A 26,263-nucleotide genomic window follows, 5' to 3' on the forward strand; every position below is an offset into this window, starting at 1 on the left:
TGCTCCTCCCGCTCTGCTGGTCTCTTCAGTCTCCCTCTTCCCGCGGCACACCCCTCCCCAACATAACTCCACTCTCCAGTGCTCTCCAGCCACCGCCTGTTCGTCCCCACAGTCCCAGGTCTCCTCGCCTCCTCAGTTCCCAACCCCTGTGTGGGCTCCCCTCCAAGATCCCTCCTCAATCCACACATTCTGGGCCCCTCCACTCCTCATTCAGCCCCCACAACTAGATCTCCCCAACAGGCCCCACTCTGCTGGTCCCCACTCTGTCTGCCCTTAGCCCCTGACTCCTCTCTCCAGTCCCTTCACACAAGGACCCGGAGTCCCCTTCCAGTCAGCAGACAGCTGCCCCGCTCTCACCTTGATCTCCTCCACCCGCCGGGTCAGGCGGCTGATCCGGGTCCCCAGATCCTCCTTTTCCAGCCTCCCGGAGTGTGCCAAAACTTCTGTCACGAACGAGGCCATGGCCAAGACGGGAACCAACGCTGACTGGGTCACTCTCGTAGCCAGCGCCGCAGCTCCCGTCCCGCCGGCCGTCTTGACGCGAGGCCTGCCGGGAAACGGAGTCTCGCGGGCCTCAGACCGCCGCCCGGAAGGCGAGGGGCGCACTACAACTCCCAGCAGGCACCGCGCCAATCCCGAGATGGGATTTCCACGGTGTCCCGTAGTTGGCAAACTGTAAGCAGACGCGTTTTCTTCCTTAGTTGTTTTCAAAGTTCGTTGCTTCCCGCCCGTTTTTCACTGGAGGAAATTAAACGTTTTTAATAACCAGGTCTAACTGAACCTTTCTAAACTTCAAAAGGCTTACTTGTAAAATTATCTAACTGAAAGAGCCAACGAGCCCATCTCGATCTTTTTTCCTCAACTTTTATTGGGCCGCTGTGGCACCAGAATCTACGAATGGCGCCCTCTAGAGTTGTGTAAAGAAGTGGCGTCACCTCATTATAAATAAAAGGTTGCTTATAATTGCATCTATGTACATATATTACATCTACGTGATACATTACACATTTACATTACCTACATTACATATTTATATTACTTAGATATACATAATATTAGTCCTGTGTGAACAAGATACTTAGTACTTTCTGTCATATTATAAATATATAAATGTGTCAAAAGCTTTTAAAAATGGTTTCATTATTTTAATGCATTGCATACAGAAAGATGTTCACAATATTCTATGTATACTATGATTCCTTTTTAAAAACTTAAGTGTATAACCATTGGTCAGAAAACAAAAAGTATGTAAGTATGTATGTAAAGGACAGACATCAAATTATCCTATGGGTGGTGGATTTATGGTATTTATTCTCTTCTCTGCCCTTGCTTTCTCTATTTTTCTGCAGTAAACATACACAGTCCTCCCTTGGTATGGGGGGATTGGTTCCAGAAACCTCCCCTGCCCCAGTAGCAAAATCCGTGGATGCTCAAGTCTCTTACATAAAATGATGTAATGTTTACAAGTAACCAGCACACATCCTCCCCATACACTTTAAATCATCTCTTGATTACTTATAAGACCTAATACAAATCAATCTAAATGCTATAGAGTCGTTATATTGTATTTTGATTTGCATTATTTTTTGTTGTTGTATTGTTATTTTTTATTAGTTTTTTCCAGAATATTTTTGATCTGTGGTTGGTTGGATCCGTGGATACCAAGAGCCAGATGTACTGTTTTGATTAAAAGGTTTTTGGTTTTTTAAAAAGATATATTGTGAGGGTTGACCCCAAGTAGGCACTGACTCTAAGATCCCTGACAATTGTTAAGTGTCTTTGAGACAATCTGCTTATCCCAGTGAAGCAAGGGCCAATTCACATGCCATGAGCAAAGGAAACAAAACTGGGATTGAGAGAGGAAGCACTGAAAACAGCCAAAACATCCTGAGAAACTCCCTTCCTTGGAAAACCAAATCAATTTCTTTTTGGTAGACCTGTCAACTTTGAATTCTAACTGCAACTAATAATAAATGCCCAATGACAAAGAATGACTGATAGATGAAAATTCTGAAACTTTGTACTGCATATTTATTAAGCAATTATCACATAGCAGACATTGTGCTAGGTCTGGGGACCCACAACATGTGAATATATAATCACAGAAAAATATGATAATTACTAATTTGTAGGTAGATGAGGGATGGATCTAGATTTAGTGGAACTTAAATCTTATACAGTTGCAGGGAGGGGAAGGACTCTTTAAAGAAAAGAATATAAAATAATGAATACAAAATTAGATGTCAGCCTTAGAAGGGGCTTGTGCAAGTAATGAGCTGTGAAGTTTAATCTGCCCCTGAGGAAGATGCAAATGGCAGAGGAAATATTGGAGGAAGAGCACCCAGTCTCTGACTGAATTAGAAAGGTTTCACAATGTTAACATTTACAGGAGGCCATCACTTTGGACTGAGTTCCTGCACTAAGCCCAACAGACCAAACCAAAATGGAGTCACTCATGCTAAAGCTCTACTTCGCCAAACCAAAACTAAGCTGTCTGTCTGACCTTCTGAGAAATCAGGAGAATGAGAGATAATCACCAAATTCCCAAACCTGCCAGTTTCAGTCTTCATGATAACGAAGTTCCCTCTGTTTTAATTCTTACAAAAAAGTACCTGAACTAAACTGATGCCAATCAATCAGTTATTTTTCTATTGTTCTGTTTCTCAGTTCCCACCTTACCAGGAAATTAAATTTGAAACAGCCAATCTGCTTTTTGTTCTTTGTGTCTCCTTTCTTCAGCCTTTTTCTTTCTATAAAACCAACCTCATCTGTTCAGCTCATCGGGACACTGATTCTACTTTATGGAATGAAGTGTTGCCTGATTCTAGAATCACAAATAAAGTGAATTAAGATCTTTAAACTAAACTCGTTGTAATTTTGTCTTTTGACAACGGTAATGAGAAATCTGAAGTGAGAATGAAAGGAAGTGCTACTTTGAGGTTGAGGTTCTGGGACCTCCCTCCAGAAAACCTGTGTGTACAGACCCACAAAACACAACTGCCTAAGTTCTTGCTTCTTCCTGAGCAGAGAGACTACTGGGTAAGGTGAAGACTGTTCCTCAAGGTCCAAGGAAAAGTCAGGGAAGAGCCAGAGTTAGGCTGAGAAAGGAGAAGAAAGAGCGTGCAGCATGGAATGTGATGGCTACACACAGTCAATGCATGCAGCAATGAATGAATACTTGAATTTAAAAAAAGAAATTAATAAATGCATGTGTTCTGTATTCCCTCATTAACCTCACCTTCTTCATAGTTCACATTTATCATGGCTTATATGTCTCCCAATTCACAGATGTTCATAAATCATCAGGAAAAGGCAAGGAAGTCAGGAGCAAAGTCTGAAAGGATTCCTCCTGGCCTATCATGGCTCACATACACATGACATACCTGTATTCAAGAAGCAAAGTAGCGAATGCATATTTCTGGTAGAGGACAGTACAATCAGACAGCGTTTCCACGTTTGCACAGTATTTGCCATCATGTTGCTATAAAAGCAGCATAAGGCGCTTAAAATTTGAAAAAGCAACCCATTTGCTTCAAAATAGTATGAAAGGGAAGGGCTGGGTGCAGGTAGAAATGAAGCAAGATTGGGATGAGTGGATAATTTTTGAAGTGAAATGATGCAATATGGGATTTCTTTATACAATTCATTCTACTTTTGTATATGTTTGAAGTTTTCTGTAATAAAACATAAAAGAGAAAAGAGCACTTCAGATGATTCTGTGTGCCTTCCTCCAAACCCTCACACCACGGATAAACACTGGTATACCAGATGTCTTAGGTGTTGAGCCATCAGTTAGATAAACTCAAGATCCTCCTTTCTCAGGAGATGTCTCTTCTGTAGGCAAAAGAAAGGGAGATCAGACTGTTACTGTGTCTATGTAGAAAGGAAAGACATAAGAGACTCCATTTTGAAAAAGACCTCTACTTTAAATAATTGCTTTGCTGAGATGTTAATTTGTAGCTTTGCCCCAGCCACTTTGACCCAACCACTTTGATCCAATCTGGAGCTCACAAAAACATGTGTTGTATGAAATCAAGGTTTAAGGGATCTAGGGCTGTGCAGGACATACCTTGTTAACAAAATGTTTACAAGCAGTATACTTGGTAAAAGTCATCGCCATTCTCTAGTCTCAATAAACCAGGGACACAATGCACTGTGGAAAGCCGCAGGGACCCCTGCCCTTGAAAGCGGGGTATTGTCCAAGGTTTCTCCCCATGTGATAGTCTGAAATATGGCCTCATGGGATGAGAAAGATCTGACCGTCACCCTGCCCGACACCCGTAAAGGGTCTGTGCTGAGGTGGATTAGTAAAAGAGGAAAGCCTCTTGCAGTTGAGATAGGGGAAGGCCACTGTCTCCTGCCTGCCCCTGGGAACTGAATGTCTCGGTATAAAACCCAATTGTACATTTGTTCAATTCTGAGATAGGAGAAAAACCACCCTATGGTGGGAAGCCAGACATGTTTGCAGCAATGCTGCCTTGTTATTCTTTACTCCACTGAGATGTTTGGGTGGAGAGAAACATAAATCTGGCTTACCTGCACGTCCAGTCATAGTACCTTCCCTTGAACTTAATTATGACGTAGATTCTATTGTTCACGTGTTTTTCTCCTTACTATCACCCTGCCCTCCTACTACATTCCTTTTTACTGAAATAATGAAGATAATAATCAATAAAAACTGAGGGAACTCAGAGACCGGTGCCGGTGCAGGTCCTTGGTATGTTGAACGCCGGTCCCCTGGGCCCACTGTTGTTTCTATACACTTTGTCTCTGTGTCTTATTTCTTTTCTCAGTCTCTTGTCCCACCCGACTAGAAATACCCACAGGTGTGGAGGGGCAGGCCACCCCTTCATCTTCCTTTCAGGAACACCTTTGCTTTCACTTCATATCTACCACAGTGTGGAGCAGGTTAATTTGTGAATAGGGAAACACATGAGTCAGACATTCATGACTCCAACAGAATAAGTCCGTTTTCTTCTCTGTCTCGCTATAAAGACTAAGCCTCACCCACATGATGTGTCACCAGTGTGCAGGGGCAGCTGCTGCAGCCTGGGGACAAGAACATCAAATGTCCGAGTCTGAGCTGCCTGGTTCGTGTTGGATCTGTTGTTTACCAGCTGGGGGACCTTGGCAAGTTACGTAACATGTATCACACAGTGGCAGTGTGAAAATTAAATACGGATAAAGTGTCTAGCCAAAAGTCTGGCATTTAGCCGTACTCAGTAAATGCAAATTATTTCCTTTCCTGTCAGAACCTGCTACTTGGCAGCAGCAACAAACAGGAATGGAAGCTGGTATGATTACCATCTATTTATAGCTGCTGTCCCAGCAGCAAGGGGAGCCTGGGGAGGGAGCACCTCCCTCTGGGGATATTCTGTGTCTGGGTAGGTTCCTTGGATTGAGGAATTTAAAATTATTTTGTAAAATTAATATTTGTGGGCTTTTTGTAATAAAAATATTAAGTGATAAATTTATAAAATGTGTAAAATGCGTAAAATGCATAGGTAAGCACAAATAAGGAAATAAAAACTATGCATAATTTTATCACCAAAATAATCATGTTAACATTTTGTGGTCTACACATATACACACACACACGCACACACACACGCACACACACACGCACATATTTCTATATATTCTTTGGCTTTTTCTTTTTTCTGAGATGGGGTCTCACTCTGTCACCCAGGCTGGAGTGTAGTGGCATGATCTCGGCTAACTGCAACCTCCGCCTCCCAGGTTCAAGAGATTCTCCTGCCTCAGCCTCCTAAGCAGCTTGGACTACAGGCGTGTGTCACCATGCCCGGCTAATTTTTTTCACTTTCTTAGTAGAGGTGAGGTTTCGCCATGTTGCCCAGGCTGGCCTCGAACTCCTGGCCTCAAGTAATCCACCCACCTCAGCCTCCCAAAGTGCTGGGATTACAGGCATGAGCCACCGTGCCCGGCTGCATTCTATATATTCCATGTACTGTTTGGTCACTTGCTTTTCTCACTTAACAATATATCAAAAATATTTTTCAAATCATTAAAATTCTTTCTACAAAATCACTTTAAAATGGCTGCCAAGTATTAACAAAAACTGACAATTCTTAACAATATTTCAATGGACATTTTCATAAATCTTTGTACGTATTCATGATACATTAGGTAGATTCCTGGAGATAAGGTGCTGGGTCAAAGTATGCATATGTTTAAAAGCATGAAACATAAAGTCATGTTGCCCTTCAAAAAGATTATATCAACGTATATTTCCAGAACATCAATCATTCTTGTGATCTCAGAGCTGAGGAGTGATTTTAGTTTATGAATTTATTCATCAAATATGTATTGATGGCTCCCTGTATGGCTTTTTTGCTGGTCATGGGACCCTCCCCCAGATTTCACACCCACATCCGATATTGGACACACCCTCTAAACCCAAACATTGCCAATTCCTGGCACCTGCCTCAGCTGCTGCTCAGAATACTGAAACAAGAGCCCTCTCCCAATGTGAAAGATCTTCCACTCAAGCCTCCTGAAAAGTAGTCCCTGCTAACCAGTCACTGACCCACTCGTGCTCCTTTTCTTTCTGCATCTGTGGTGGGAGTGACTATGGCCTGGAGTTTCCGTGCAAAAGTCCAGCTCGGGGGGCTACTTCTCTCCCTCCTTGGCTGGGTCTGCTCCTGTGTTACCACCATCCTGCCCCAGTGGAAGACTCTTAATCTGGAACTGAACGAGATGGAGACCTGGATCATGGGGATTTGGGAGGTCTGCGTGGATCGAGAGGAAGTCGCCACTGTGTGCAAGGCCTTTGAATCCTTCTTGTCTCTGCCCCAGGAGCTCCAGGTAGCCCGCATCCTCATGGTAGCCTCCCATGGGCTGGGCCTATTGGGGCTTTTGCTCTGCAGCTTTGGGTCTGAATGCTTCCAGTTTCACAGGATCAGATGGGTATTCAAGAGGCGGCTTGGTCTCCTGGGAAGGACTTTGGAGGCATCCGCTTCAGCCACTACCCTCCTTCCAGTCTCCTGGGTGGCCCATGCCACAATCCAAGACTTCTGGGATGACAGCATCCCTGACATCATACCTCGGTGGGAGTTTGGAGGTGCCCTCTACTTGGGCTGGGCTGCTGGTATTTTCCTGGCTCTTGGTGGGCTACTCCTCATCTTCTCGGCCTGCCTGGGAAAAGAAGATGTGCCTTTTCCTTTGATGGCTGGTCCCACAGTCCCCCTATCCTGTGCTCCAGTGGAGGAGTCAGATGGCTCCTTCCACCTCATGCTAAGACCTAGGAACCTGGTCATCTAGGACTGGCTTCTGCCAAGGATCTCTGGAATAAAGGAATGTCTGTAGACTCCTTTCTCACTCTAGGTTTGTTTGCTTCATTTTGGGGCTGGTGGTCACTGTCCCACTTATCAAGGATGTGATTGTCTTGATGATATGGTAGTCCTCATTTCAGAATAAAAAATCAGGGCACAGTGTCTAACAAATGTATTTTTCTGATTTGAGATTTTATTTAGATAAAAATGCTTTAAAAAACTCATAACCTTAATTACATATTTGATTCTTTTATTACTAAGGAAAAATATATTACAAAATTGCAACCATCAGAGAAAATCTAGTGTGAAGAGGCACTTACTGTTCTGAATAGGTTACAAAAATAAAACTTGAAGAAGGTACCTTGGCAAAGGAAAATGAATTATTGTTCCAGAACAGCATCTTAGGACAGAAATTCTCTTTGTGTCCATTTTCAGCCTCAGGTGTACCATTTGAAAGACAACTTCACAATATACCTTTGCTGTTTTATAGATCCTTAATATCCCAAAGGAGAGACATAGGCTTGTTTCTGCTACATTGTGAGGCGATGAGCAGTCTACTCTGTCTTCCCCACCTGAAGGTTAACAGTCAGTCTGAGTGAGTGGTAGGGTGACCAACCCTCCTGGTTTGCCCAGAACAAGGTACTTTTGGTGCTAAAACTAGGAAAGTCCCAAGCAAACTGGGACCCAGTGATTACCTTAGAATGACTGTGTCCAAATACTGCCCAATGTGGTCATGTATATGAAAGAAGTAGCTTCTCAGAAATGTCTTTTACCAAGTGCAAAATCACAGTATAAACTCCTTGAATTTTGTTTTGCTGTGTTTTTTTGTTTGTTTGTTTTTGTTTTTGAGACAGGGTCTCACTCTGTTGCCCAGCCTGGAGTGCAGTTGCATGATCATAGCTCACTGCAGCCTCAAACTCTTATTAGGCTCAAGGGATCCTCCTGCCTCAGCCTCCTGAGTAGCTGGGACTACAGGCATGAGCCACCAAGCTCAGCTAATTTTTAAAATATTTTGTAGAAATGGGGTCTCGCTATATTGCCCAGGCTGTTATCAAACTTCTGGCCTCCTCTTAAATTTTAACCTGAGTGTCAGCAGACCTACCCAGGTTGTGGCTACAAATCAAGTCCCTTCCATAACGATAACCTAAGTTCCTTTGCTTGCTCTGCCTGCAATGGCAGGCTCTCTCCTGACTACCCCACCTCAGGTCTTCCTCTGGCATTTCTGCAGGTCCTCAAGGAGGAGCCTCCTGTTGCTCATAAACCTGTTTGTCAGCTGCAATTATCCTGCAGCATCCACCTTGTTCCTCTCCCTGCCACCTGTCCTCCACTCCTGTAATCAGTTCAAGAATCACCATTGGCCCTGCCAACAATTCCCTCAGGAGAGCAGCTAAAGGGGATGGCTCCTAATGCCCTAAGTAGGTCACTTCTCCAGGTTCAGAGGCGTGCTGCATTCCTCACAGTACCAGGGACATTCCGCCCTCCCCAAGCTGGTGCTGTGCTTTGTCATCTCAGCTCTGAGGTCTCACAACGCCTCTCGCCTCCTGATAAAATAGCCCCAATATCACGAGATAGCCATTGCTCAAGCAAGAATACACAGACTATGACACAAGAGTAAAAAAATTTGCCAAAGTAGCCCAGGACAGTTCCCTCCTTAGAAAAATGCCATTTTTTTTTTCCTGCTGAAATGGAGTCTGCACAGGTGCAACTTCATCTTCTGCAACTCTTACCTTCTTACCCAGAGCAGATTTCTCTTGAAGTCACAGTTTCTCCAGAAAGCTCCTTCTCCTTTTATGCCTGTCCTTTTGTGTATGTCTACTTGGCACGCACAAATCAAAATGATCCCTAGGCAAATACAGCTCTGAGTACAAAGGGCCAGTTTGCATCAAAGGTGTATTCTGGCTTTCTGTGTCTGGTAAGTCAGAAAATGGTTTCCAATGTCTGTTTTATTAGCTACTCCTTCTCAATAAAGTTTCAAAGCTCTTTGGACAAAGTTTCAATCAGGGGTGAGGCTCAATTATCTAAGCATTTTCTTGACCTTCCAGGGTCTACATGAAAGAATAATTTCATTATTATTCATCCATCTGATCATTTATTCACTCACTTAACAAATATTTATTGAGCACTGACCATGTGCTAGGAACCAGTATAAAATGGTAAGACAAAATATATTCTTGTCCCTCATTCAGGCAAATTAGGGAGATAATTTTTTTTTTTTTTTGAGACAGAGTTTTGCTCTTGCCCAGGCTGGAGTGCAATGGTGCGATCTTGGCTCACTACAAACTCCGCATCCCAGGCTCAAGCAATTCTCCTGCCTCAGCCTCCCAAGTAGCTGGGATTACAGGTGTGTGCCACCACACCCCACTAATTTTGTATTTTTAGTAGAGACAGGGTTTCACCATGGTCAGGCTGGTCTCCAACTCCTGACCTCAAGTGATCCACCCGCCTCGGCCTCCCAAAGTGCTGGGATTATAGGTGTGAGCCACCGCACCCAGCCAGGAGACAAATATTAATGTAAAATCACTCAAATAAACGTAAATAGTAACTTTGACAACCTTTACAAATTTGGAAAGGGACATGGTTCTATAAGATCATCCAATAGTTTAATCAACCTTTATGAATGTAAAAAAGAGAAAAATATATATACATAAAAAAATCATGCAATAGGAGGGATTTAACCTAGTCAGTGATTCACGGATCAGTACTCAAAGGAAGCGATTACTGGCTGAACAATAAAGGGTGGGTAGCAGTTCCAGATGAGGAGGGGAGATGAAGACGCATAAGGTGAAGCTGGCAAAGTAGGAAGAAGCCAGACCTTGTAGGGCCTTGTAGGCCTCAGTAAGGAACATAGTCTCTATTCTCAGGACCATGGGAAGCCAAGCACGTGGTCCGGGAACAGGAGCTTGGCTTCCAATTGACTGCAACAGTAACCTGCTCTCCTTTGTCTAATGACTTGTCTCTGTGAAATTTCCTTATCACATGGTTGTGTTGGGCTTGCAGGTGTACAAAGCACTTCTACAAATTTTGGTAGTTTTACTGAACATATCTTGAAATGTTTTTGAGTTTTGGAAGAGCAGATATTATTAGTTTTGCTACTGAGGAGAATGAGATGCCGAGAATTTAGGTGACATGCCCATGGTGAGTAATTAACTGAGTCAAGACTTGAAGCCAGGGTTTGGCACCATGGCAGTCTTTCTTCACCTTATCCTATGGCCTCATGGGATGGGTTGCCTAGACAATCTACCAGACCAAAGGAAAAACTCTCGCCAAAGGCCAGGCGTGGTGGCTCATGCCTGTAATCCCAGCACGAGGCAGGCAGATCACCTGAGGTCAGGAGTTCAAGACCAGCCTGGCCAACGCGGTAAAACCCTGTCTCTATAAAAATACAAAAATTACCTGGGCATGATGGCAGGTGCCTGTAATCCCAGCTACTCAGGAGGCTGAGGCAGAGGTTGCAGCAAGCCGAGATCGCGCCATTGCACTCCAGCCTGGGCGACGGAGCAAGACTCTGTCTCAAAAAAAAAAAACAAAAAAAAAAGCTTCTCACTGAAGTCGATGGAAAAACCAAAGACCGTCAAATAAAACCCTCCTTTGTGCTTATGTTGAGGTTTAAACAGGGTCTTTGTTGCCAGGTGGCTCACCTGCTCCTGCTGGTGGCTTGCAGCCCTCACCTGAATCCCGCATTTGCAGGTGCTAATATTTTTTCATCAGCAAGTGATTATGGCTTCCTCTGCAGAGAAATGGACACTAAAGATTTGTTAAGAAAATATTCTGTCTTCCCAACTCTCTTTATAAAGGACAAAAGGAATTTTTTAAATGGGTGTGGGTAGAAACTCTTGATGACATACTGGCCATGTGGCCAACAGCATGTCCTTCCCTGAGAGGGAATGTGATCTGCAGTCTAGTGGGAATCCACATTTAGAGAAAGAGTTTGAGGAAGGAGATGCTGTTCACCTAAAACTGCCACTGTTGTTAGCCACCTGCTTTGAAGGGGAAAATAATGAGAAATAAAAATAGAACTAATTAAATCATAACTTCAACACAGCTTTTTGTCATATAGATCTGTGGCAGATTATTCTCACATCAAAAACATTTCTTTATTGTGGTTACACATGGAGAGGTGTGTAGTCATATGTATCAGAAAGAGAAAGAAACATTAATCAATCACTATTTCAAGCCAGAAGTATTGTGCAAGGTAGTGGAGGAAAATATAACTTAGGGATTCACCAAATTTGATGCAGTTAGAGTTTAGGAACTTGGTGCTATCTTCTCCATCAAACTATCTTTGGGTTTGAAAGTTTCACCATTGGGAGTGAAGGCATTCCAGAAGGTCTCTATTAAAATACTCATCTGTAACCCTTCTGAGCTTCTGAATTAGCTCTAGGGAAAAGTCTTAAGGGAACCTGATTTGGGAATGGGAAAGAAGTCAAAATGGTTTCACGGGCTTCTGGCCAGGAGACGTGTCCTCGCAGCCAGGATTAGGACAATAAGAAACTCTGTTAGGAAAATGTTTGTTTGCAGTCACTGGTCTCACAGGGAACTAAAAGAAGATGTAGTTTCCTTTCTACTCCATCAATTGATGGATTATTTTTTAACCCAGTTGTTTTTGTCATGATCCCATCTACATTTATAGGATGTGGAACGAACTTTTCTGTTGCCCAGAGTTTTGAGTAAAGCCTCAAAGCCCTGTCCCATAGGTGACAGTGCCTTATATTCTAAAGAGAGGGGCTGCTAAGAGGTGTCCAAACTGGTCCACCTTCACTCCCAACATCCTATAGGAGACAAGAGTCCAGACACACTAAGGGAGGATTCCTGGAAGGGAATTCATAACAGTCTAGAGTATTATTATGTTCTCTGTCCTTCCTAGTGAGGAATGGGATGGAGGTGGACCTTGAGAAAGCCACTTGCAGATCCAAGTTGTTCCCAGGAGGGAAGACTGGCATCTGAGACACCCCCCATCCCAAACCTGCTGAGCCACAGAAACTCCGTGGGCCCGCTCCTGCTGCAACCAGAATGGAGCCCAAGAAAGCTCTTGGGAAAACCTAGGCAGAAGCCTAGAGGCAGGTGTGTGACCTCCACTGAAGCAGCCTGAAAGCAGGAGGCTTGTTGGAGTGGGCCAGCAGCAGCACCTGCACTTCTGCCTTTTACTAGGACAAGGTGGTGAACGTCCTATACCCAAATGGGTGGTGAAGAAGGCAATCGGGGTGATGTTCCAAAGTGCCATTGGAAAGTGTGGATGACTAGGGCAGGACCCAAGAGGAATGATAAGAGGTCAGCCAGAAAACCCAAAGACATCAGGGAATGAATGGCCTGTGAAGGTTTTCTACAGGGCTCTCTGAAAAGCCCATAAAATGCCCCCTACAAGACCTAGTAACAAGACCTAGTAATTGGGTTCCTGTCATAATAAAGGACATTGAATCAAGAGACTATTATAAATGACAGGTTTTTTTAAATTTAATTTTTATTTTTTAACAGAGGCAGGGTCTCACTATGTTGCCCAGGCTGGCCCTGAACTCCTGGGCTCGAGTGATCCTCCCACTTCAGCATCCCAAAGTGCTGGGATTATAGGCATGAGCCACTGCATCTAGACAATGACAGTTTTGGGGTTTTTTTGTTGTTTTTTTTTTTTGAGACGGACTGAAATGAATGAGAGTGAATTTAGATTGAGATTAGTCTGGGCTCTTTCATACATGAAAATAATTCTGTTTTCCTACTCACACATGACAATAAACCTTTGAGATCTTTTTTAGATGCTATCAAGGAGCAAGGAAGGGAAAGATCATTTTGAAAGTAATAGTGGGCTGGGCGCAGTGGCTTCCACCTGTAATCCCAGCACTTTGGGAGGCCGAGGCGGGCAGATCACGAGGTCAAGAGATCAAGACCATCCTGGCTAACATGGTGAAACCCCATCTTTACTAAAAATACAAAAATTAGCTGGACGTGGTGGCAGACACCTATAGTCCCAGCTACTCAGGAGGCTGAGGCAGGAGAATCGCTTGAACCCAGGAGGCAGAGGTTGCAGTGAGCTGAGATCATACCACTGCACTCACTCCAGCCTGGGCAACAGAGCGAGACTCGTCTCAAAAAAAAGAAGAAAAAGGCCGGGCGCGGTGGCTCACGCCTGTAATCCCAGCACTCTGGGAGGCCAAGGCAGGCGGATCACGAGGTCAGGAGATCAAGACCATCCTTGCTAACACGGTGAAACCCCATCTCTACTAAAAATAAAAAAATTAGCCGGGCGTGGTGGTGGGCGCCTACAGTCCCAGGTACTTGGGAGGCTGAGGCAGGAGAATGGCGTGAACCCAGGAGGCGGAGCTTGCACTGAGCTGAGATCGTGCCACTGCACTCCAGCCTGGGCGATAGAGCAAGACTGTGTCTCAAAAAAAAAAAAGAAAAGAAAAAAAAAGTAGTAGTAAAAACAAAAATAAAGCTGTCAACTCATCATGCCCTATCAATCAAGTTTAGGCCATTCAATAAGATGACTAAAGAAAAATATATCTAAAACAGGATAAGAGTCAGAGATCTGGATTTTTTTTTTTTGTTTTTTTAAGAGACAGGGTCTCACTCTGTTGCCTAGGCTGGAATGCAGTCGTGCGATCACAGCTCACTGCAATCTTGAGCTCCTGGGCTCAAGCGATCCTCCTGCCTCATCCTCTGGAGTATCTCAAGCTACAAGCATGCACCATCACACTCAGCTCAATCAGATCTGAAATACTGCAATTTTTATATCAAGCATAAGCCCCAATCCCTTCAATAACACTGTCTTCCAGTCACACTGGCTAATATGAACACATCCACTTGCCAGAGGCCCATAGCTCCCTGGATACCTTGATAAAAAACTCCAATTATTTAAAACCCACCTGTGGGCCCTATGCAGTTCAGGATAACCCTTAAAATTCTTGCCCAGATGATGAATTTCCCTGTGAGAACTGCATTTGCATCTCTGCATCTGTACACTGAGTCATTGCTGTCTATTCTTTTCTTTAACCCTTAAAACACAGCCCCCAGGTAAATATTTTCATTTTGTAGACCAGTAAAAAAGGTTCAGCCAGTATTTGAACTCAGATCTGTCAGATTCCAATGTCACTATTCTTTTCATGGAACCACATCTTATAAGACATACTGATTCAGTAATGACTTATCAGGAAAGCTGTAGAACTGCTTAACCTATGAATGAGCTCTGGCTATTCCATAAGTAGAGATAGTCGAGATGACTTTGTGAACGACAATGCTACTTTCAAGTCATCACTAGAGATTCTGCCCTGGCTGTTAAAATCTAAGTGCTAATTTGGGAAGATCATCTTCACCATGCAGTGAAACATCCAGCCCATCACCAGGACTCTGGATAGAAAACCAACCATCCCTCCATGAATTCTACTCATATCAGGACCAGCAAATATTTAATTTTGAGAGCTCACTATTGGCATTCCTGGGTACCACTTTTGTGCCAGCTTATCAATTCCAAGTCATCTAAATTCTTCAGATGGTTTCTAACCTCTACTTGTACTCGAAGTTAATATTCCTACTCATTGATTATGATAATTTCTTGTCCTGCTAGGATAGCAGGGACAACCCAGGCTTATCTTCTTTTGAAAAGAAAGAGGCCAGATTTGTGCCTTGTTGGATCCATTCCTGGAATAGATTCTATTCTCTTGTCTATAAATGGCAATCAGATAACACAACAAGGAGACTGTGGGGTCATCATAACTAGCCAACAACTTAATGGGCAACGCAGCAATCAAAGGTGCTGTTTTGTTTTGAGACAGAGTCTCACTCTGTCCCAGCTGGAGTGCAGTGGTGCGATCTCTGCTCACTGCAACCTCCGCCTCCCAGGTTCAAGCGATTCTCCTGCCTCAGCCTCCCAAGTACTGGGATTACAGGCGCCCACCACCACACCTGGCTAATTTTTGTATTTTTAGTAGAGATGGGGTTTCACTGTGATGGCCAGACTGGTCTTGAACTCCTGACCTCAAGTGATCCACCCACCTCAGCCTCCCAAAGTGATGGGATTACAGGCGTGAGCCACTGCGCCCAGCCAAGGGTGCTAAAAGGAAGACATGGTAACATCCTTAAAATCTCTTAATTCTCACCTATGCTTGTGTCCCTTTACTATACACACACACACACATATCTCTCTTAAGCCAGTTCTACTCAGACTTATAGTAAGTCAATGTGTCAGTTTATTGTTCGACAACTTAAAAAGAAGGTAGAGAATTTTTTTAAAGGCTCAGGAAAAAGTAATGTAATGATTGATTAGCTCAGAACTTCAACTTATGAGAAAACCTTAAGGAACTGATGGGTTTTTGGTAATTAAAGGAAAGGCTAACTATACAGAAAATTATATATATATATATATTTCTATATCTCCACTAGAGTCAAGTTTAACATGAAGAATGTGCAGGAGATAAAAAGTATTAATTTAAAAGGTATGTAACCTTTAATCTATCATTGAAGGAGGTTCTACAGACTTTTTTTTTTTCTTGGCTCATGTGTAATGATCTTTAATGCGTATTGAAAAATTACTATTCTCAAGTAAGGATAATGTATATCTCAGGTCACTTACAGTCTCAAAGTTTTGTCAGTATACTTTAAAACAATCCTGCGAACAGATCTAGATTGAAGGAGACTAAAGAATCATGAACTCGAGGAGGCGCCGGGGCAGGCGCAGAGCTGGCAAGCACGTGGTGGGGCCCCTGAGGCGTGCATAGGGTCGCGCGCCTGGGAGCTTGTCGCTGGCGCGGTCCGGGAGGGAGGTTCGGCGGCGGGAGGCAGCATGTAGGTTGCAGGGCTGAAGAAGCAGTTCTACAAGGCCAGCCAGCTGGTCAGTGAGAAGGTCGGAGGGGCTGAGGGGACCAAGCTGGACGATGACTTCAAAGAGATGGCGATGTCATCAGCAAGGCGGTGACGGAAATGCTGGCAAGGACCATCAAGTACCTGCAGCCCAACCCAGCCTCGCAGGCTAAGCTGACCATGCTGAACGCGGTGTGCAAGATCCGGGGCCAGGTGAAGAACCCCGGCTACCCGCAGTCGGAGGGGCTCCTGAGCGAGTGCCTGATCCGCCACCAGAAGGAGCTAGGCAACGAGTCCAACTTCAGTGACGCACTGCTGGATGCCGGCGAGTCCATGAAGCACCTGGCAGAGGTGAAGGACTCCCTGGACATAGAGGTCAAGCAGAACTTCATTGACCTCCTCCAGAACCTGTGTGAGAAAGACCTGAAGGGGATCCAGCACCACCTGTAGAAGCTGGAGGGCCGCCGCCTGGACTTAGACTAAAAGAAGCGGCAGGACAAGATCCCCGATGAGGAGCTGCGCCAGGCGCTGGAGAAGTCTGAGGACTCCAAGGAGGTAGCAGAAACCAGCATGCGGTCCTGGACACCGACATTGAGCAGGTGAGTCAACTCCCGGTCCTGGTGGAGGCGCAGCTGTACTACCACTGGCAGGCCTTGCAGATCCTAGACGAGCTGGCAGCGAAGCTCAAGCGCAGGATGCGGAAATCTTCCTCACATCAAATATTTGAAAACAAACTAGAAACTGTCCAACCGCATTTCTACTGCGCCCGCCCGCAGATGCAGTTTTCTCCGCACGTGCGCGCCTTCTCTCCTTCCCGCCCTCAGGGTCCACGGCCACCATGGCGTATCAGGGGCAGCAGTACCTGTGGCAGCATTGGCCTTTGCAGCGGCGGCAGCAGCACCAGGCTCTGCAGCGGCACCCCCCAGCGGCTTAAGCCATGGCGCTTCTCAGGGCATTCAGCAGCAGCGTTGCTGTAACCGACAAAGACACCTTCGAATTAAGCACATTCCTCGATTCCAGCAAAGCACCGCAACATGACCGAAATGAGCTTCCTGAGCAGCGAGGTATTGGTGGGGGACTTGATGTCCCCCTTCGACCAGTCGGGTTTGGGGGCTGAAGAAAGCCTAGGTCTCTTAGATAACTACCTGGAGGTGGCCAAGCACTTCAAACCTCATGGGTTCTCCAGGGACAAGGCTAAGGCGGGCTTCTCCGAATGGCTGGCTGTGGATGGGTTAGGCAGTCCCTCCAATAACAGCAAGGAGGATGCCTTCTCCGGGACAGATTGGATGTTGGAGAAAATGGATTTGAAGGAGTTCGTCTTTGATGCCCTGTTGGGTATAGATAACCTGGAAACCATGCCAGATGAACTTTTGACCACTTTGGATGACACTTGTGATCTCTTTGCCCCCCTAGTCCAGGAGACTAATAAGGAGACCCCCAGACGGTGAACCCAATTGGCCATCTCCCAGGAAGTTTAACAAAACCCGACCAGGTTGCCCCCTTCACCTTCTTGCAACCTCTTCCCCTTTCCCCAGGGGTCCTGTCCTCCACTCCAGGTCATTCCTTTAGTTTAGAGCTGGGCAGTGAAGTGGATATCCTGAAGGAGATAGGAAGCCAGACTCCACTGCTTACGTTGCCATGATCCCTCAGTGCATAAAGGAGGAAGACACCCCTTCAGATAATGATAGTGGCATCTGTATGAGCCCAGAGTCCTATCTAGGGTCTCCTCAGCATAGCCCCTCTACCAGGGGCTCTCCAAATAGGAGCCTCCCATCTCCAGGTGTTCTCTGTGGGTCTGCCCGCCCCAAACCTTACAATCCTCCTGGAGAGACGATGGTAGCAGCAAAAGTAAAGGGTGAGAAACTGGATAAGAAGTTGAAAAAAATGGAGTAAAACAAGACAGCAGCCACTGGGTACCGCCAGAAGAAGAGGGTGGAGCAGGAGGCTCTCACTGGTGAGTGCAAAGAGCTGGAAAAGAAGAACGAGGCTCTAAAAGAGAGGGCGGATTCCCTGGCCAAGGAGATCCAGTACCTGAAAGATTTGATAGAAGAGGTCCGCAAGACAAGGGGGAAGAAAAGGGTCCCCTAGTTGACGGTAGTCAGGAGCGTCAATGTGCTTGTACATGGAGCCTCTGCTGTAGCTGTGTGTTCCAATAAATTATTTTGTAGGGGGAAAAAAAAAGAAACTGTCCAACCACAGGAAAACAGCCTGGCAGATTCAAAGTTAGGCAAAAACCTTCAGACAGTAAACAGAGTCCTCATGGGCCCAAGGAGCATCCAGAAAAGGCACTTCAAAGAGGTGGGAAAGCACAGCACTAGGAAAGAACAGGATGCCCAGGCATTTGTGGACAACGCTGCCAAAGAAAAAAGGCTTGAGGGTCCAGCCCCGAGGGAGCTGGAATAGCCTCACATAGTGCAGGGGCCTGAGAAGGTAGCGGGAAACACCGTCTCCACCAAGCCTCTCTACAGACTTTTTATAAAACCATAAAGTATTGATGATAATGTAAAATCTTTTTTTTTTTTTTAGTAGGTATAAAAGTTCTATAGGCCAGGCATGGTGGCTCATGCCTGTAGTCCCAGCTATTCAGGAGGCTGAAGCAGGAGGATCGCTCGAGCCCAGGAAGTTGAGGCTGTAGTGAGCCATGACCATGCCACTGCATTCCAGCCTGGGTGACAGAGTGAGACAGTTTCAGAAAAGAAAAATAAAAGAAAGTTATATGAATAAGTAGGTCTCAATTGTGACTGTATATCAGAATCACCTGTGATGCTTTTTAAACCATAAAAGCATCAATGGCCCAGCCCAAGTCTAACAACTCAGTATCTGTAGGGTTGAGGCCTCAGCAGCTCTATTTTTTAAAGTGACACAGCTGATTCTGAATTGGAAGCCAAGGTTAACGACCACCACCGAAGAGTTTTTTATTAAAAATGCAGGAAAAAGGGCTGGGTGCGGTGGGTCACGCCTGTAATCCCAGCACTTTGGGAAGCTGAGGCGAGTGGATCACGAGGTAAAGAGATCGAGACCATCCTGGCCAACATGGTGAAACCCCATCTCTACTAAAAATACAAAAATTAGCTGGGCATGGTGGCACACGCCTGTAGTCCCAGCTACTCAGGAGGCTGAGGCAGGAGAATTGCTTGAACCCGGGAGGCGGAGGTTGCAGTGAGCCGAGATCGCACCACTGCACTCCAGCCTGGCATCAGAGCGAGACTCTGTCTCAAAAAAAAAAAAAATAATAATTTAAAAAAGCAGGAAAAAAACTTATAAAAGAGAAAAATAAACAAAGCAAATAATTACTTGAAAAGACTAATTAATAAACCCCTGAAAAGACTGACTGCAAAATACTGAAAACAAAAAAGATACAAATCACCCAATATCAGTAACAAAAGACAGATATTACTATACAGACCTTAATTAGAAATAAAAAGTCGTCCGGGCGCGGTGGCTCACGTCTGTAATCCCAGCACTTTGGGAGGCTGAGGCGCGCAGATCACGAGGTCAAGAGATCGAGACCATCCTGGCTAACATGGTGAAACCCCATTTCTACTAAAAATACAAAAATTAGCTGAGCGTGGTGGTGCGCGCCTGTAGTCCCAGCTACTCAGGAGGCTGAGGCAGAAGAATCGCTGGAACCTGGGAGGCGGAGGTTGCAATGAGCCGAGATTGCACCACTGCACTCCAGCCTGGGTGACAGAGCAAGACTCTGTCTCTAAATAAATAAACAAATAGTCACAAGATAAAATTATGAACTTCCTGTAAATAAAATTTTAATTTTAGATATAATGGATACACTTCTAATAATTTTCCAAAACTGATACAAAGAAGCAACCAGAAAGATCTGAAAACCCCACATATCTGAAAGAAACTACATCTGTAATTAAAAGCATTCCCACAAACCAAAATGACAATTCCAGGCTCAGATGGCTTCAACAATGAATTCTTCCAATCATCAAGGAAGAAATAACCCTATTTTACCCACACTCTTCCAGAGCATAGAAAACAAGACAACTTGCCAATGCATTCAATAAGGCCAGAATAATCTTGACACCAACACCTTAACAAGCACATTATGAGAAATGAAAATACAAGGCCAATCTGTCTTATGAATATTCATGCAAAAATCCACCTACATATAAAAAATATCATGGTCAAATTTACTTTATTCTTACAACACATGGCTGGTTTAACATTGGAAATCAAGAAATGTAATTCACACATTAACAGAATAAAGAGACCTATGTAACCATCTTGACATAAATAAAAGCATTTGATAAAATTCAAGCTTAAAAAAAACTCAGCAAACTAGTAACAGAAGGAATCTTTTTCTACCTAATAAGTGGAATTTACAACAAACCTACAGCATACTTAATGGTGAAATATTGAACCCCCCCCACCAGATACTAGGAGACAAAGATGCCCACTTTTCACCATCTGTATATTCAGCTTTGTACCAAAGGTCCTAGTAAGTGTAATCAGGCAAGAAAAATAAAAATTGTAAGAATTTGAAATAAAAGTCATCATTCACAGATGACATAATTATGTATATTAAAAAATCTTCTGAACTATTAAACATCAATTCACTTCTAGATATGAGAAGAAACAAAAATGCAATCTGAAAAATGACATTTACCAGGAATGTCAAAACTTAAAAAAACCCAGGAATAAATCTTTTGGAAGAGGTGGAAGACCTTTATATAAAAATTAAGAAAAACCTTTAAAAAATAAGATATACCACGCAGATATCAGTTTTTCTCAAATTATCTCTGGTCATTGTAAACTTAATCAAAAATACTTGCAGATTTGTGTGTGCATGTGTGAAACTAACGAACTGATCCTAAAATTTATGCCAAAATGCAAAGGATCAAGAATAGCCAAGAGGCCAGCCTCAGTGGCTCATGCCTGTAATCCTAGCACTTTGGGAGGCCTAGCTGGGAGGATCACTTGAGCCCAGGACTTCAACACCAGCCTGGACAACATAGTAAGACCTCCATCTCTACAGAAAATACAAAAATTAGCCAGGTGTTGTGGCAAGCTACTGTTGTCCCAGCTACTCAAGAGGCCTAGGTGGGAGGATCACTTGAACCTGGGAGGTTGAGGCTGCAGTGAACCATGATCATACCACTGCACTCCAGCCTGGGTGACAACGAGACCCTGTTCAAACAAACAAAAAATGAATAGCCAAGACAATCTTGAAGTACCAAACTGGAGGGAAGTTTTTTTTTTTTTACCAGAAATCAAGAAATAAAGACTTGTTACAAAGCTAAACTAATTAAGAAAGTGTGAAGGCTGGGTGCGGTGGCTCACGCCTCTAATCCTAGCACTTTAAGAGGCCAAGGTGGGAAGATCACCTGAGGTCAGGAGTTCAAGACCAGCCTGGCCAGAATGGCAAAACCCCATCTCTACTAAAAATACAAAAATTAGCTGGGTGTGGTGGCATGTGCCTGTAGTCCCAACTACTTGAGGAGGCTGAGGTAGGAGAATCACTTGAACCCTAAGGCAGAGGTCGCAGTGAGCCGAGATCGCGCCACTACACTCCACCTGGGCAACAGAGCAAGACTCCATCTCAAAAAAAAAAAGAAAAAAAAAAAAAAGTGCAATATTGGTACAAGCAGACAAACAGGATAATGGGACAGGCAAAAGAGCCCAGAAACAGACCCCTGTGAACACATCTGATTTATGACAAAAGTAGCAGTGCAAGGCACTGGAAAATGGATGATGTTCTCAATAAACAGGGCTTGGTCAATCAACTATCAAAGGTGAAACCTGGCTGGGCGCGGTGGCTCACGCCTGTAATCCTAGCACTTTGGGAGGCCGAGGCGGGCAGATCACCTGAGATCAGGAATTCGAGACCAGCCTGGCCAACATGGTGAAACCCCGTCTCTACTAAAAATACAAAAAGTTGCCCTGCCTAGTGGCACATGCCTATAATCCCAGCTACCTGGGAGGCTGAGGCAGGAGAATCGCTGGAACCCGGGAGGCAGAGACTGCAGTGAGCCGAGATCCTGTCACTGCACTCCAGCCTGGGTGACTGAGTGAGACTCTGTCTCAAAAAAAAAAGGTGAAACTTCCGGAAGGTAACAGAGTATCTTTATGACCTTGGGTAATAATTTCAAGAGGACATGATAAGCACTAACCATGAAAGGAAAGATGAATAGATTCAAATATATTAATATCAAAAACTTATTTTCATCAAGACACCAAGAGTGAAAAGCCAGAGTGGAAGAAGATACATGCAATGCATACAACCAATAAGGGCTCCATAGCTAGCAGATATAAAGAACTCCTATAAATCAATAGGTTAGAGACAATAAATCCAACAACAAAAATGAACAAAAGACCTAAATAGGTATTTTACAAAAAACAATGACCAAAGGCCAGTAAGTATATAGAGATGCTTGATGTTGTCAGTATTCACGGAAGTGTACATTGAAATCACAAGATTATCACTGCGCACTTTCCTGAATGGCTACAATTAAAAATACTGATAAAACCAAATGTTGACAAGCATATGGAGCAACTGGAACTCATAAACCGATGGTGGGATCAAACTGGTATAACCACTTTGGTTATATGACCTGGTAATTTTACTTCTAGTTATACACCAACAGAAATGCATTCATGTGTGCATCAAGACATGTACAATGAATGTTCTTGGTAGGATTGTGCATTAACAGCCAAACATGGGAAGCTCAAAGGACAATAAATGGTGAATATGGTCATACAATGAAACCCAATAAACTGAGCAAGGAAAATGAATAAACTAACAGCTACATGACTTCTGGCACAATTAATTCCCCCTTCTATCCTACCCTTGCTACATTCCCAGCACTCCACTTGATCTCTCTTATTCATTTAATTGTTTTATTGTATGTTATCTATCTCGTATGTTCTTGAAGTGGATAGGGTAAAAATGAGTTAGTATGCCTGCTAGTTCTTAAAGGAGCTAACAAATCCAAACAGAAGATGATTGCAATTCCAGTTAACCCAGTCTAAATCCAGTCTCAAGAGAATTTATGCTGAGGTGAAGTATCCTGCTCAAACTCTTGAATCATTTTGGGTAAGGGTCACATAGGTTTCTTCTTCCCCATATCCTTATTCTTCTCAACCCTTTAAAAAGGTAAAAACCAGGCCAGGCACAGTGGCTCATGCCTGTAATCCCAGCACTTTGGGAAGCCAAGGCGAGGGGATTGCTTGAGCCCAGGAGTTTGTGACCTGCCTGGGCAACACAGCAAAACCCTGTCTCTACTAAAAATACAAAAATTAGTGGGGCATGATGGTGCACACCTGTAGTCTCAGTTACTTGGGAGGCTGAGGTGGAAGGATCTTTTGAGCCCAGGAGGCAGAGGTTGCAGTGAGCTGAGATCGTGCCACTGCACTCCAGCTTGGGGGACAGAGTGAGACCCTGTCTCAAAAAAAAAAAAAAAAAATGCTTAGCCTGACAGCTGGGTAACAAACAAACAAACCAGTCTGAGACCTTAGTTTGTGGAGGCCTTTGGTTGTACCTAAAGGCAGCCAGCTACTGTTAGGAATAAGAAACTATTAATAGTTCTCAGCACTCCCCCTGGTGGATCCAAATGATACAGACTACTCAGCACCATACACTCCAGATGTCCATCCATTCCTTTCTTTGCCAACTGTAGATTCCCAATAGCTGATCAGGAAATAACTACTGTTAAGGAGACACAAAACAAAATATTTCACACGATTACCAAGGACAGTTGAACATCTATTAAAAGCACAGGCTATGAAGTCAGACACACCAAGGATTAGTGTCCTAGTTCTACCACTTACAAGATCTACGACCTTGGATAAATCATGGTCCCTATCGTCATCCCAGGGTTAAAATAATATAACTGAAGCACTGCACACAAGACTCAATATTGACAGGGATTAAAAAGTGAAAGGCAAATGGTGGCACACAGGATGTTAAACTGTAAAGGGTAATCAGTAAGAAAATTGATCAACTTCCCATGAAACAATCTTTGCGATGAGTTTTAAAACACTAAAGCACCTCTGAATATCTGTAAAGCATGGCCTACCATTAATCAAAATACATTTTGACCCTTGAAAAACACAGGTTTGAACTGCATGAGTCCCATGAGGATTTTTTTCAACCAAATGCAGATTGAAAATAGAGTATTCACAGCATGTGAAAACCCAAGTGTATGGAGGGTCAACTTTTCCTATATGTGGGTTCTGCAAAGCCAACTACAGAATTTGAGTATGCATGGATTTTGGTATATGCAGGGGTCCCAGCAATTGCCGGTGTCTGCTGAGGAATGACTACATAAGAAACTCCATTCTAAGAAAATTGCTGTTTTTGCATTCAAAAATTTGACAAAGTAGATAAGCTTACATGCAATGCAAATAGCCAATGAGATTAAAAAGCTTCAGTTACCACTAGGTGCTGCTCAATAATTGACTGTTGCCTTTTATTTCAAACACTGGCGCGTCAGTCCCCATCCAGTTTATCAACCCTCTAATCTGCTTTTTGGTTTTAAAGAAGAAAAATTGGAACAAGACAAATACCAAGTATGTCCATTTCCCAAATGGAAAATATATATTTAAATAAAGACCATACTGCACACCAAAGGTAAAACAAATACTTTTATTGCACATTTATAAAATCTGCATAGTTGTATCAATTTTTTTCCCTTTCATGATTCCATTAATCTTTAAAATTTGGTTAAAACACAATATCCAATCAGAAGCCTTTTAAAAATGATCAATGGGAAGTATTTTTCTCTACATATACATATATATATAGTTTTGCATATGTATGCTGGTTTTTTTTTTTTTTTTTTTTTTTTTGTACAAACCCACATCCCTTACTTTTAAGGGCAAAAAAGAAGGCCGGGTACGATGACTTGTCTGCAATCCCAGACTTTGGGAGGCTGAGGGAGGCAGATAGATCACTTGAGGCCAGGAGTTAGAGATCAGCCTGGCCAATATGGTGAAACCCCATCTCTATTAAAAATACAAAAATTAGCCAGGTGTGGTGGTGCATGCCCGTAATTCCAGCTATTCGGGAGGCTGAGGCACGAGAATCACTTGAGCCCAGGAGACAGAGTTTGCAGTGAGCTGAGATTGCACCACTGAACGCCAGCCTGGGCGACACAGTGAAACTGTCACAGAAAAAAAAAAAGAGCAAAAAAGAGGAGGTGGACCTAAATGGTCTTTGGGCCAGCAGTAGCCCTATTGACTGTTTTTGACAATTTTTAGGTATTAGAAAATTTTACCTAAATGCCTAATAACTATTAATGGATGATCTTCAGTCAAGTTACACAATGCTCTTCTGTCTAAAGTCCTTAATACTTTACTTTCTTTCACTGAGGACTGAGTATGAGGTTTTCTGGTTTAAAGATAGAAAAGAAAGGAGAGAGACAGGTCTCTTTTGACTTTTCAACATCTCACTGCCATGTGAGCTTATATTCTACCCACATGTAAAAGGGTGCAGTTCATCAGCAACCCATTTTGTTATCTCCTGGCAAGAGCCAGGCAAGGTTTATATTTCTAATCTCTTGTAGTTAAGAATTTTTAAATGTCATCTGTATTTGATAAAATAACTAGTAGCTGTTCATCTGGTTCAGGTTCTCATGAATCATTCTTCTATTCTGCTGTCAAAAATATTTATGCCTGAAGGATAATTTTAAAAGTGGCAAGAGGCTTAGAAAAGCCTAAGCATTGTTGTAGGTACAAGGCATTTCAGGTCTTCTGGCGTAATTCAACACCTTAATACACTGCTTTCTGCCTTTTCTAGTGAAACAGCTTTTATGATTTTGTACCTAAAAAGTGCAATTTTATTTTCAATCCTTCTTTACACATGCAGCATGGTTGGGGTCTGATCGGAATCTTATGTGCCCACCTAATCCTTTTCCCAAGGTGAGCACTATGACAACGAACTTCTGTGCAAGAGGCAGGCAGCCAGGAACCAGAATGGGCCTTGAACATGTGGGAGCTTATTTCACTGTCACAGTTGAAACTCCCTGAATTGACTCCATGACAGCTGCAAATCGGCTACATAGGTCATAGGGAGAATTGGGTCGAATAGTTGGAGGCTCTTTCAAGACGATGATTTCTGCAGAAGGATCTAGAAGTCTGGGTAGAAACTCCCCTAGGCACAGCTGCAGATTTTCTGTGGAGGGAAAACAGATGGTTACATATACAGCTAAACAGATTTCTGAGTA

The 26,263-nt window shown here is 43.6% G+C and overlaps 3 protein-coding genes and 3 pseudogenes across 52 annotated transcripts in view, besides 2 other annotated features; 4 read left to right on the top strand and 2 right to left on the bottom strand.

Annotated features, from left to right (window-relative positions):
- ZW10 (zw10 kinetochore protein) overlaps positions 1 to 488 on the bottom strand; it is a 40,506-nt gene extending 40,018 nt beyond the window's left edge. For both annotated transcript variants that reach the window (XM_017018558.3, NM_004724.4), the window contains exon 1: positions 358 to 488. In XM_017018558.3, coding sequence (XP_016874047.1) covers positions 358 to 462 — 105 coding nt within the window. In that variant the 5' untranslated portion in view covers positions 463 to 488. The remainder of the gene's footprint in view (positions 1 to 357) is intronic.
- Positions 219 to 488: an enhancer, noted in NCBI's record as "active region_5541". NCBI's record gives its function as "activates an Ori minimal core promoter by ATAC-STARR-seq in GM12878 lymphoblastoid cells {active_cell/tissue: GM12878}" and the evidence as "EXISTENCE:reporter gene assay evidence [ECO:0000049][PMID:35858748]".
- Positions 619 to 678: an enhancer, noted in NCBI's record as "active region_5542". NCBI's record gives its function as "activates an Ori minimal core promoter by ATAC-STARR-seq in GM12878 lymphoblastoid cells {active_cell/tissue: GM12878}" and the evidence as "EXISTENCE:reporter gene assay evidence [ECO:0000049][PMID:35858748]".
- Positions 6,592 to 7,281, top strand: CLDN25 (claudin 25). Its single transcript, NM_001101389.1, has one exon. The coding sequence runs from the start codon at positions 6,592 to 6,594 to the stop codon at positions 7,279 to 7,281; it is 690 nt and encodes a 229-aa protein (NP_001094859.1).
- On the top strand, positions 15,934 to 16,793 carry LOC390251 (SH3 domain containing GRB2 like 1, endophilin A2 pseudogene; annotated as a pseudogene).
- ATF4P4 (activating transcription factor 4 pseudogene 4) lies at positions 16,834 to 18,249 on the top strand (annotated as a pseudogene).
- On the top strand, positions 18,262 to 18,548 carry LRRC37A13P (leucine rich repeat containing 37 member A13, pseudogene; annotated as a pseudogene).
- Positions 24,671 to 26,263, bottom strand: part of USP28 (ubiquitin specific peptidase 28) — a 77,698-nt gene continuing 76,105 nt past the window's right edge. For all 49 annotated transcript variants that reach the window (NR_174609.1, NM_001400807.1, NM_001400809.1 and 46 more), the window contains one exon: positions 24,671 to 26,211. Coding sequence is in view for 48 of the 49 variants with exons in the window: in NM_001400807.1 (NP_001387736.1) it covers positions 26,036 to 26,211 (176 nt within the window). In the remaining variant the exon portion in view is untranslated. The remainder of the gene's footprint in view (positions 26,212 to 26,263) is intronic.

Source organism: Homo sapiens, chromosome 11 (assembly GCF_000001405.40).
Source record: "Homo sapiens chromosome 11, GRCh38.p14 Primary Assembly".
Taxonomy (NCBI): domain Eukaryota; kingdom Metazoa; phylum Chordata; class Mammalia; order Primates; family Hominidae; genus Homo; species Homo sapiens.

Bases quoted from the DNA above. Each gene is read 5' to 3' on its own strand.
- CLDN25 (NM_001101389.1), top strand. From the start codon at position 6,592: ATGGCCTGGAGTTTCCGTGCAAAAGTCCAGCTCGGGGGGCTACTTCTC.